The sequence below is a fragment of the Homo sapiens genome, chromosome 14 (assembly GCF_000001405.40).
Source record: "Homo sapiens chromosome 14, GRCh38.p14 Primary Assembly".
NCBI lineage: Eukaryota > Metazoa > Chordata > Mammalia > Primates > Hominidae > Homo > Homo sapiens.
Genome location: NC_000014.9, coordinates 39,431,559 through 39,444,331, shown reverse-complemented (window position 1 = coordinate 39,444,331; position 12,773 = coordinate 39,431,559). Strand labels below are relative to the sequence as shown.

General features: G+C 43.7%; 1 protein-coding gene and 1 long non-coding RNA gene across 14 annotated transcripts in view, besides 3 other annotated features; one reads left to right on the top strand and one right to left on the bottom strand.

The window, feature by feature from the left end:
* The window catches only part of LOC105370461 (uncharacterized), a 433,650-nt gene extending 421,667 nt beyond the window's left edge, over positions 1-11,983 (bottom strand). For 7 of the 13 annotated variants that reach the window (XR_007064127.1, XR_007064128.1, XR_007064125.1 and 4 more), the window contains exon 1: positions 11,657-11,720. This is a non-coding gene — a long non-coding RNA (uncharacterized LOC105370461). The other 6 variants (XR_007064121.1, XR_007064122.1, XR_007064119.1 and 3 more) reach the window with 2 other exon arrangements.
* Positions 11,301-11,470: a silencer, noted in NCBI's record as "silent region_5691". NCBI's record gives its function as "represses an Ori minimal core promoter by ATAC-STARR-seq in GM12878 lymphoblastoid cells {active_cell/tissue: GM12878}" and the evidence as "EXISTENCE:reporter gene assay evidence [ECO:0000049][PMID:35858748]".
* Positions 11,861-12,110: an enhancer, noted in NCBI's record as "active region_8290". NCBI's record gives its function as "activates an Ori minimal core promoter by ATAC-STARR-seq in GM12878 lymphoblastoid cells {active_cell/tissue: GM12878}" and the evidence as "EXISTENCE:reporter gene assay evidence [ECO:0000049][PMID:35858748]".
* Positions 11,899-12,773, top strand: part of FBXO33 (F-box protein 33) — a 34,750-nt gene continuing 33,875 nt past the window's right edge. Inside the window, exon 1 of the mRNA NM_203301.4 lies at positions 11,899-12,768. Within this exon, the coding sequence (NP_976046.1) occupies positions 12,170-12,768 (599 nt within the window). The 5' untranslated portion in view covers positions 11,899-12,169. The remainder of the gene's footprint in view (positions 12,769-12,773) is intronic.
* Positions 12,211-12,340: a silencer, noted in NCBI's record as "silent region_5690". NCBI's record gives its function as "represses an Ori minimal core promoter by ATAC-STARR-seq in GM12878 lymphoblastoid cells {active_cell/tissue: GM12878}" and the evidence as "EXISTENCE:reporter gene assay evidence [ECO:0000049][PMID:35858748]".

The window sequence follows — 12,773 nt, the reverse complement described above, 5'->3', positions numbered from 1 at the left end:
AATCCCAGCACTTTGGGAGGCTGACGCAGGCGGATCACGAGGTCATGAGATCGAGACCGTCCTGGCTAACACGGTGAAACCCCGTCTCTACTAAAAATACAAAAAATCAGCCGGGCCTGGTGGTGGGCGCCTGTAGTCCCAGCTACTCAGGAGGCTAAGGCGGAGAATGGCGTGAACCCAGGAGGCGGAGCTTGCAGTGAGCCGAGATCACGCCACTGCACTCCAGCCTGGGCGACAGAGCGAGACTCCGTCTCAAGAAAAAAAGAAAAAAAACATGCAAATTAGAAGCCACATTTTTTACTATAAATTTCAACTGATATAAAACTACTATGTCAAATGACTATAAACGTTTCTAAAGTTTATTCTCAATTTCTTTACTTATATTCCAGCAAAGCTGTAATAAACAGTTCATGGACTGACATCCGTCTACAGAACACACTTTGAGTAGAAGTAAACAATTCAGGGCTTCAATCAATAAATATTTATGATATACTCAGCATGAAATCTTCACCATGCTAGACACTGAAGGACAATGAAAAAGGTATAAAGCAAAGGCTTTTCCTTTAGGGAGTCTATACTTTGTAAGGAAGAACACAAAGAAGTGTAAAACAATAACAAATAATATGGATAAATAAGTTTTGTTGCTGATTAGAGGAAAAGCATCACTAAGTTTGGAGTAGTCAGGACAGAAGACTTGAAAAAAGTGAAATTTGAATTCAATATTTATGTTTCAATAGGACTCAGATACAGAAAAGATGGTTACTTTAGAGAGTAGAGACCACATGTACAAAAGCAAAAGAATGAACGTGGCATGTAGATAACACAATAAACTGAGTAGTTCTCAGTAGAGGGACAAGTACTGATAGGCAGGTATTGACCAATCAGAGTTTACACAGAAATATGAGCAAGGAAAAAAATTACTGAACATTTCTAAATAAGTACTATGATAGCCAGGTGTGGTGACTCATGCCTGCAATCCCAGCACTTTGGGAGGCAGAGGTAGGCAGATCACTTGAGGGCAGGAGTTTGAGACCAGTCTGACCAACATGGTAAAACCTCATCTCTACTAAAAATACAAAAATTAGCTGGGCATGGTGGCACATACTTGTAATCCCAGCTACTAGGGAGGCTGAACCAGGAGAATCACTTGAACCCGGGAGGCAGAGGTTGCACTGAGCCAAGATGACACCACTGCACTCTAGCCTGGGGAACAGAGCGAGACTCTATCTCAAAAAAAAAAAAGAAGAAGAAGAAGAACTGCGATAGAATCAGTGTTCTAGAAAGGTAAGCCAGCAGTGACATCAAAGTTGGAGTAAAGTAGAAATTCTTCAGGTTGAAAGGATTATATATTATACCTTTTTACATATCCTCCAGAACCCCCTATTTATTTATCCTCAGTCCATCATGGATAGAAAATGCATCTTGTTCAAGCAATACATGTTTTTTCAAAAATTAAAATTCTGTTAAGGGTACTAATTGAAGATATTCTAGATTTACTTCCTCTGACTCCCGAAACTTAAAATTTAAAAACAATGTATAGATACTTGACTCTGTATAATAAGAAGAGAACTCAGCTAGGAAAGAGATGACCATTGCCACTAAGAGATTCCAAATATTTCCTCAAAGGCAAAAAGTGGACAGGAGTGTATTGACAACTGAAGCAGAACATAACATACTAGTGACCCATGCTCCTTTGGGTGTCGCTCTGCCAAACGGAAACTTCTGTGGCTGGCGATGCCTCTGCTTGAGTTCGCTCACACCCACTGGACTATTCCACCCACTCGACCCAGCATGCTGCGCTTCGCTCTCACTATTGGCCCGGATCCCACGGCTACTAAGGGTGAGCCAAGCACTCAGTGACAAGGGATGCATGAGCAAGTCAGTGTGGAATCCGGCCACTGCGCACAGCCAGGCATACCAGCTGCTGCTGCGGAGCGGGCAGCACCAAGCACCAGCACAGGCACTGGCTCCATGTGAGGCTCTGGCTGGACCAGATGTACTGCAAGCAGCTTCTGCTGCAAAGACCAGTGTCTCGATGAGGGGAACAAGGTGGCGCCCAAAAGCCCGGAGATGCCAGGAACCACAGAGCATCCAAAGAGGGTGTTATAGCATGTCACAGCTCTGGCTTAGGAAGCCCCAAGGTCTGGGCTTCCAGAAGGGCTACAGCTCTTCTCTCCTTCTCATTGCCTGCAGTGCAGAGAGCAGGGGATGGCAGCAAGTTTCAGTGGGGAGTGTTTAAGCCCATTTGTGTTATAGCTCTTTCAGTCCCACCACCACAACTGCAGCCCGTGGCTGGCCCAGCCCCACTGCTGCTTCCCACTGCATGGGGCGGCCACCCGGCGCCAACAAAGGGTGGAAGTGCTACAGTGTTACAGCAGCTCTACCTCAGGAAATCCCAAGGTCTGGGTCCCCAGAAGGGTTACCACTCTTCACTCTCATAGTCCAGGAGCGTGTCACTGCCTGCAGCTTGGCAAGCGGGCCAGGAAAGCATTACAGCTCCTTTCACACCTACCATTCAGTGATATCCTAGTTCTTGTCCCATGTCCATGAAGAATGAGGTAACATGGACAACTGGAAGGTGAACAAGGCAGAGATTTATTGAGCAACAGAACAGCTCTCAGTAGAGAGAAGACGTGTAGTGGGTAGCTCCTTTCCACTGGCAGGTCATCCTGAAGAGTATCTGAGTCTGCATGAGTCTAGGGTTTTTATGGGCTCAGAAGGGAGGAAGTGCATGCTGATTGATCCATGGGTAGCCATGGGCAGGCATGGAAAAAGCACCGTAAGTTCTCACTCTGGGCCGCGGACTCCACCCGTAATTGGCAGCCTGGCCCCCAGGCTTCAGGCCATCCCTGGCTTCAAGACGGGGTTTCACCAAGGACCTGCCCCTTCCCACCTAGGAATCTGTCTGCCTCCTGTTGCCATCAACATGCCATTTGTGCCCAGGCTGTCCATGCTGAGGGGAGCCCACAGGCCCACACCAAGCTGCCCTCAGCACCCCCGGTCTCCCTCTTGAGTTCATCAGTGCCCAAAGTTTCAGAGTTTCAGCTCCCTCTGAGCTCATCAGTGCTCAAGGCGGCAGTGGGAGTTGGTGTGTCAGTGTTGCCCCAGGCATGCACACACCTGGCTGGGTCACGACAGTGCCTGGGCTAAGCTATAACTTTGCTCCACACCAGAGTGGAAACTGAGAGCAGGGAGAGGCCAGGGAGAGTGGGAGCAGGCACTTCCGAACTTGCGGGGGCAAGAGGCTCCCTGGGCCCCAGAGAGCACAGGGATGCCCAGGTCTGGAGCCATGGCTGGGTGGTTACAGCTGCACCTAGAAGTGCAGGCTCCTGCCCCACCAATTTGGTAGAGTGTGAGGCTTCCACTGGGATCACCTGTTCCCACCCCCTACGGGCTCCACAGAGGGCACAGCCCCAGGTGCACCCCCTCCTACTGCAGCGGCCTTCACCGCAGCAGCTGCTCCAGATGAGCCGCCACCATCACTAGGAGGAAGCTGCAATTGAGATAAAAGCTGTCCTGTGCACTGAAACCTTAGAGATTCTGGGTTCAGTGCACCTGAGGAACTATCTCTAAGGAACATTAAGGAAAGAGTGAGAAGGTTAGCTAGGAATAGAGATTAACTAAAGATCTGAATACAAGAAAACTATACTAAACAAATCCACCGTTTTCTTCCATCTCTGTCCACAGCAAATACAAGGACCCTAGTATTTACCTTCAGCCAAAAATAGTAATAAAAGGATAGGCCTCCTTTGTGGCAAAACTTCATCTCTCAGACCCTTTATGTCTAGGCAAGACCATGTGTCTAGTTTTAGCCAATGAATGTAGGAAGTAATCTGTCATTTCCTTGCTACGGCAATTAAGAAGTGCCTTCTCCATTCTCTCTTCCCCTTCCATTACAAGAGACAGAGAATCACAGGGCATTTTAAGGATGGTATAACTATAAAACAGAAGGAATTAGGGTCACTGAATCATCACATGAAGGAAAGCCGCCTGCTAAGAACACCTTCAGTGGACAGTTAAAGGAGTGAAAAAATACACGGCTATTTTGTTGACATTAAGATCTTCAGGTTTCCCTTTTATAGAAACTAGCATCTTTATTAATTAGAGCCCTTCTTATAAACGAAAGACAGGAAAAATTAACTTTACACAAATCGTAAGACCCAAATCCAACATCAATAATCATGGGAGAAAGTATGCTTTTTCCATAAAGGTGGGTAAAGGGGAAAAAAGTGAATATTTGCCTAATATTTATCTAACATACTATAATCTAGCCAATTATAGACAGAAGATTGTGACTGCTATGTAGCAAAAGCTGATTAATGTAAGAACAACCAAGAGGCTGGACACGGTGGCTCATGCCTATAAACCCAGCACTTTGGAAGGCTGAGGCAGGAAGATTACTTGAGGCCAGGAGTCCAAAACTAGCCTGACCAACATGGTGAAACCCATCTCCACTAAAAATACAAAAATTAGCCAGGTGTGGTGATGCACACCTGGAGTCCCAGCTACTCAGGAGGCTGAGGCAGGAGAATTGCTTGAACCAGAAGATGGAGGCTGCAGTGAGCCAAGATCACATCACTATACTCCAGCCTTGGCAATAGAGCAAGACTCCATCTCCAAAAAAAAAACCAAGAGAAAAACAAAATATTACGATTATCAAATATTGGTAGGAATATGGAAGAGGGAAAGAGAGTAATGTAATTGAAATACATCTTCATATTTTACAAAAAGGGAGTAAACAGATGATGTCTAAAGTTAATCAGTTAAAAAGCACAGGTAGCGGCTGGGCCTAGTGGCCCATACATGTAATCCTTGCACTATGAAAGGCTAAGGTGGGAGGATTGCTTAAGGCCAGGAGTTGAAGACCCCATCTCTACAAAAAATTTAAAAATTAACCAGGTGTGGTGGTGCCTGCCTATAATCCTAGCTACTTGGGAGGCTGAGGCAGGAGGATTGCTTGAGCTGGGAGGTTGAGGCTGCAGTGAGCCATGATCCTGTCAATGCACTCCAGCCAGGGCAACAGAGTGAGACCTGTTCTCAAAAAAAAGAAGAGAAAAAAGTGTAAGTAAAGGCATATAATTTGAAATTACCTAAAGAGGCATCCAAATAGGAAAAGATGTCAAACTATCTCTCTTTGCTATCAGTATAACTGTATATCTAAAAAACCGTAAAGACTCCACCAAAAGGCTCCTGGAACTGATAAATGACTTTGGTAAAGTTTCAGGATACAAAATCAATGTACAAAAATCAGTAGCATTTCTATACACCAATAATGTTGAAGCTGAGAACCAAATCAAGAACATGATCCCATTTACAATAGCCACACACACACACACAAACCTAGGGATATATATAACTAAGGAGGTGAAAGATCTCTACAAAAAGGACTACAAAACACTGCTGAAAAAAAATTATAAATGACACAAACAAATGGAAAAACATTCAATGCACAGGGACTGGAAAAATCAATATTGTTAAACTGGCCATATTGCCCAAAGCAATGTACAGATTCAACACTATTCTTAACAAACTACCAATGTCATTTTTCACAGAATTGGAAAAAACTATTCCAAAATTCATATGGAACCAAAAAAAGAGTCTGAATAGTGAAAGCAATCCTAAGCAAAAAGAACAGAGCCAGAGGCATCACATTACCTGATTTCAAACTGTACTATAAGGCTATAGTAACCAAAACAACATAGTAGTGATATAAAAACAGACAGCATAGACCAATGAACAGAATAGAGAACCCAGAAACAAAGCCACACTCCTACAGCCTTCTAATCCTTGACAAAGTTGACAAAAATAAGCAATGGAGAAACGGCTCCTTATTCAATAAATGGTGCTGGGGTAGCTAGCTAGCCATATGCAAAAGAATTAAACTGGACCCCTACCTTTCACCATATAAAAAGATTAACTCAAGATGGATGAAAGATTTCAATGTAAGACCTCAAACTACAAGAATCCTAGAAGAAAACCTAGGAAACACCATTCTGGACATCAGCCTTGGGAAATAATTTATGCCTAAATTATCAAAAGCAATTGCAACAAAAACAAAATTTGACGAGTGGGACCTAGTTAAACTAAAGACCTTCTGCCCAGCAAAAGAAACTATCAACAGAGTAAATAGACAACCTACAAAATGGGAGAAAATATTTGCAAACTACACCACAAACAAAGGTCTAATATCCAGAATCTAAAAGAGCTTAAACCACTGAACAAGCGAAAAACAAATAACCCCATTAAACAATGGGCAAGACATGAATAGACACTTTCCTAAATAAGACACATAAGCAGCCAACAAACATATGAAAAAAATATTCCACATCACTAACCGTCAGAGAAATTCAAATCTGAACCACGAGATACCATCTGACACCAGTCAGAATGGCTGTTATTTAAAAAGTCAAAAAATAACAGATGTTGGCAAGGCTGCAGAGAAAAGGGAACACTTATACACTCTGGTGGAAATGTAAATTAGTTCAGCCACTGTGGAAAGCAGTTTGGAGATTTCCCAAAGAACTTAGAAGTACTATTCGATCCAGCAACCCCGCTGCTGGATATATATCCAAAAGAAAACAAATCATCCTACCAAAAAGACATACATGCTCGCATGTTCACCACAATACTATTCATAATAGCAAAGACATGGAATCAACCTAGATGACCATCATATGAACTGGATAAAGAAAATGTGGTACATATATACCATGGTATACTATACAGCCATTAAAAATAAGAAAAATCATGTCCTTTGCAGCAACATGGATGCAGCTGAAGGCCATTATCCTAAGTGAATTAATGCAGGAACAGAAAACCAAATACCGATGTTCTCACGTGTGAGAGCTGAACACTGGGTACTCATGGATATAAACATGGCAACAACAGACACTGGGGACTACTGGTGGGGAGGGGGAGGGAAGAGAGCAAGGTATGGGGGAAAAAAAGAAAAATGAATTAAATGAAATAAAATTACCTAATGAATCTAACATCAAAATTGTTAAAAATGTTTCTGGGAGTAGGCCTGACAATGGGAGGCAAGAGATGAAAATCTGTTGCTTTTCATCAACAGTACTTTTGTACTACATTTTTTTGTTACCATGGTCATGTATTACTCTTAAGAAAAAAAATGTAATGAATTTCTACTAGAAATTTCTTGCTAAAGGGTTAGATTTTAGAGATATGAGAATCTTCCTACATAAACTGAATACTATGGAAGAAATTCCATAACCTTCAAGTGAATGAAAAATTTGTTTTATTTTCCTTGTGGTATGAAAGTATGACTCCCCTTTTAATATTCAATATAAATGAAGAACTGATTCACATTCCCAGATAATTCAGTTACGAGTTGATTCATCTATAGATGTCAAAATTTACTTAATACGTTGTAGCTATATTATAAAAATTCCTAATTTGAAATAATTTATAAAACTTATTTAAGTGATCTGTTGCTATTCATAAAATAAGGAATTAGCATGAATACAATTCACTAAAGAATGTATCTGCACAGTGCAACAAATGTAGAAAACAAACACTAATATATAGTCACATTAGACAATAATTACCTAAACAGGTCACCAATTCTTTCCAACTATGGCAGACATCACAAATCAAATGATACTCCTTCCAGTAGAATGAGGACAACCTCAAAATCTTTCTTAACATAGTACTTCTCAGCCTGCAAAACTAATTAAAATTGGCACATCAAGTGAAACCCCTTTGGCCTAGAGCAAGACAACATTCCAATTAATGCTACTATATGAAAATATTCACTTCATTTCTCCTTTTCAGCACCTAATGGGCTAAAAAGATTTTCCAAAGGATTAAATATTAAATTCTGCAATGAGAATATTGCAGTAATTAGCCATGAATAATATATTTCTTCATGACAAAGTCTTAAGATTACTCAGCCAGTATGACCTGGAAAAGCTTGATGAAGATTCCAAGAAACTGTGGTACTCAGAGATGAAGAGAGTAACCTTAGCTCCTGCTTTTAGTTTTCCATTCCGGTCCCTACACATCAAAGGATACCTGTGGATGTCCTCAAAACTCCAGGAAGAGGAGGAAGAGGGCCAGAGGGAAGGAGAAAAGAAAATCCTCTCAGTGCTTAAGCTAGTTAGGTTAAACAACCAAAGGAACCCAATTAAAATGACTACTTTGGAGACTGTGCCTCTTAAGTAACAGTCCCGTGAGCCCCGTTGGGGGATCCTGCCTATAATCTAAGCTGCACAACTCCAACGAGGATCATTAGTCAATTACTGATTTTAACTAGAAGTCAAGGAATTTTATTGGTTGAACCAGCTGTGTTAAACATAACACTTAGTTTTTAATATGTACTTAAGCAATAAAGGGTACCTCTGAAAACACCCATCCTCTTAAATAAAAGGGAAGAAATCAGTAATGCAATAAAACAGGCATTCAAGTTAAACCTTTTGAATTCATTTTTTAACTAAATGGGATAGATAGGGAAAAAAATAGCTCTGGAAGTGGACTTAAAATGCGGGGATTAGCTAGTAGGCCTAGCTACAGAGACAAAATATGGCCTTGGCCCACAGTTTTGAGAACTTTGGTAAAGAATTTGAAATCTGGTGCCCTGAAGACTAAATCTGGTTTTGTTATGCCCACAGAATATTTTTAATGTAAATAAATTGGCAATCTGAAGGTTTAACCTTTTTAAAAATGAGGATTTTAGTTACTTTTGAAAAACTAGGAAATCTGGAAACACAGAGCCCACTTTCCCACTTGCGAAAAGCATCCTCCTGTAAGACAAAATCTTTCCATCTCCCTATATTGCACAGTACCCAATTCTTCTCTCACTACACGTATCTGATTCCTTTGATATATGAACTATCAATCCCTGCTTTATGGAGAGAGGTCTTGCACAATCAACTCATGAGTGGCTTGGTTAGAAAAAGTTGTGATATCAGCGACATGCTACACCTAGACTGACAAACCAATGACGCGGTCCTCTGTCATGTAGCTCACCAACGCAGACTTCCTCCTCTAAAGATGAATTCCCTTCAATCCCTCATTTCTTTTTACTGTAATATGATTCCACTAGGAAACACTTCAATCCACCAGACAAGGGTGACGGGAATGAGGTACCCAGATCTACTGTCGCAGGAGGTTCCTGTGCCTCTAGGTAAATTTATGGGTGCATGCTAAGAGATAATTGGAAGGGTATTATGTCACCTCTACCTGTCAACAATGTCTGAAACCCAGACATCACTCAGAAAACTGTATTTTTTCAAGAAATATTAGAATTTAGGCAATTTTCATGTTTACTGGTAGCCTTGAACATCGTTTCATGATGCAGCTAAAATAAAATCTGTCATGGTTACTTTTTTCTATTATAAAATTGCAAGTGATTCAGTATAATAAAAGTTATATTTAACCCAAAGAAAGTTGCCAAACTTAAGCAAAAATGGAAAGAAAGCTATAGTAAGATATATTTAATACCCCAATTACCTAACTAGGAAAAACACTAAACTTAGCATGTTAGAAAAGGAGAAATATAAAAATATTAAGTGCTTAATTTATCTCTAAAAGAATTAACCATGAGTATAACAAGAAAAACAGAACAGACCATTGACTATCAACAGGCAGGCATATCAATCCACCAGAGCAGATACCTACCTTAATATTATAGTCCTATCCACCATTCGTTGCCTGGGTTTCAAATCCAAATAAGCATGGTGGTTGCTATAGTGACAATATGCCACTTTTGGAACCTGGAGCTTAGTACTACTAGGTACTTATGAGCTTCATAACGTCAGTACTTCCTCCCACACTCTGAATCATAGCTCAGATTTTATAACTTCACAAAATGTAATTCCATTCTGTCCTATATGAGTCAATTTTATTTTAGCAGTATAGAATATATGTCAAAAGAATCTAACTCACTTAACATGCTAAATATACATACTCAATATACATTTAATTAATAGTAAATATATTGGCCTGATAAGATAAATTTTGTGCAACCATTGGAATTCACTGATTTATTATTGAAACTGGGCAAGATTCACAGCTAATTCTTTAGCTTACAGTTGTTAAAATAGGATTCCTACCACACTTCATTTAAGAAGAAAGTTTGAAATTCTAAAATAATGAATTTCATTTATGGCAGACTGACATATTTTCATTTTACTCAGGAACCATTCCTAATAATTAAAGACTAATTATTAATGATCTCCAAGATGGTAGCTTGTTGCTAGCAAAATGCTAAGAAAAAAATATCAATCTCAAATTACAGTGCATTTCTAGAATATTAAAAAAAAAAAAGTCAGAGAACTGGAAACCCTCATACATGGCTGGTGGGAATGAAAAATGATGCAGCCACTTTGGAAAAAGTTTCCGTTTCTCAAAAAGTTATACATAGAACTACCCTACGACCCATCACTTTCATTCCTAGGTATCTACCCAAGACAAATTAAAACATACGTCCACATAAAGACTTGCACATGAATGTTCACAGCATTATTCATAACTCGAAACGACCTAAATGTCTGTAAACTGGTAAATGGGTAGTGTTTCATCCTGCCGAACCCACGACTGGGGTCGCCCTCTAAGAGTTCATTAAAATTAATAAGGTATAATTACCTAAAACTCTTGTAAACAGGGGCTCGAATAAGTAACCTATCACAATTGATAAACCACACCATGTTGTTGGCAACCTGATATGTGCAAGGCATTAAACGGAGAGCTTTGCCCTCAAAGGGTTAAGAACATCTAGAATGGGGGTCTCCTCTTTCGTCTTGGGAGCCCCCTCCGTCTGTCTCTGTAGTGGGGAGCTTCTTCCTTCAGCCTTCTTCCTTCTTTCTTGCCTATTAAATTCTCCGCTCCTTAAAACCAAAAAAAAAAAAAAAAGTCCAAAAAGTCTTGGTGTTTACCACAAAAGAACGATGCTATTCCAACATCACAGCCTCCCTAAAGCAACTCTCAATTATTACATAAAGAGGCAGCCTCCCTAAAGCAACCCTCGATTATTACATAAAGTCACTTAATCTTTTCTGACTTCACCACTCTTTGCAACCAGAGTTTACTTTGCAGTAGGCTGTGGTGAAGTTAGGGACATGGTTTGGAAAATCTAAGTTAGGGATACCAGGCAAAAAAAGAAGAAGAAGAAAGAAAAAAAATCAAAGCTCTGTCATTACTGTGAACTTTTCAACGAGAGCCTTAAATCTCAGCACAGGGAAAAGAGACCCTTCCTCAAGCCCTGGAGAAGAGGCTGGTCACAACCTGCGGATCTCAGATCCCTTTGCCAATTTTTTTCTCTCCCTCTGAATCCAAAGGGTGACGCTGTCCTCACTGCTTCCCCACACACCAGCGAGTGCGCGGAAGTCCACCTGCGTGGTTGGACCGAGGGGGCAGGTCCATTCGCGGCCTCCGCCACGCCCCACACCGCCCCTCCCGGCACAGCCCGCCGGGGTTAGCCCGCCCGTCCGCCAGCTCCCTCTCAGCGGCGCAATCTCAGGAATTCTTAACCCTACTCTGGGCAGGTGGGATGGCTGAGAAAGACCCTGCATGCCGCCACTTTGGCTCAGGGTCCTCAGCCCAAACTGAGAAACGTTTTACAAAGAAGCGTGACGACCTTTCGCACTAAACCAGAGTACCGCCACCTCCATCGACCGAGCGCCAAAATTAACCGACTTACAGATGTGACTGGGCGCAGCGGCCACCGTAAGGCGTAAGGGGTGCCAAGTGCCGGTTCCAGTCCCGCCCAGCCCCGCCCCGCCCCGCCCCGCCCAGCCCCGCCCCGCCCCGCGGCCTGCGTGCGTCAGAGATCACGTGCCGCGCCTCCCGTCCCTACAGGCAATCGGGCGCTCCCCTCTTCCGGAAGTCGCGCCGGTGCGCGCCGGACTCCTCCCACCAGCGGCGACGTCAAACTCAGCTCCTACCACTTCTCTGTCTCTGCCGACCGGCGCAGGGAGGGCTGCCTTTTCCTTACAGTACGCCTTGAGGCTTCCGGGCCGCTGAAGTTTACGAGCGAGGGCAGTGCAGTTACTCAGTGTGCCGGCCTCGGACGCACGTGAGTAGAGTTTGAGAAGACAGAGGCTGGCTCCCGGCAGGCCACGCCCGCAGAGGCCTTTCCCCCTCTCCACAACTTGTGTTCTACTTGGTTCCGCCGAGACCCACGACGGTTCCGCCCCCTTCTTCCTAGTCATTGATGTTGTTGTTCTTGTCAGTGCCGCAGCCCCGACCGCCGGGAGCTCGAACCCGAGCCGGGGCCGCCCGGGTGGCGCGGTGGCGGCGGCTGCGGCTGCAGCAGCTGCGACGGCTGCGGGGGCTGCTCCGGGTACTGCGGGGGCGGCCGGGAGCCGGCAGCCGGCGGCGGGGCCGGATGGCTCTGTGCGGGCAGGCGGCGGGCGCTGCGTCGCTGCCCAGCGAGCTGATCGTGCACATCTTCTCTTTTCTGCCGGCGCCCGACCGGCTGCGGGCCTCGGCCTCCTGCTCGCACTGGCGTGAGTGCCTCTTCTATCCGGCCCTGTGGCCCCAGCTCCGCATCTGCCTCCGCGTCTCGCCCGCGGAGCAGCCTCGGCTGGAATTCCTCATGCGCAAGTGCGGCTGGTTCGTGCGAGAGCTGCGTGTTGAATTCGCCGCCGAGAACTATCTGAGCGGCGGTGGCCCAGGGGACGGAGGTGGCGCGGACACCGGGACTGGAGGGGAGGAAGTCGAGGCCCTGCAGCTCTCAGCTCGTTGGCTGGAAGTGCTGCGCACCTACTTGGAGCTGGTGCTTTGCGTGCTGGTCAGCATCCGGAACAACAGGTAGG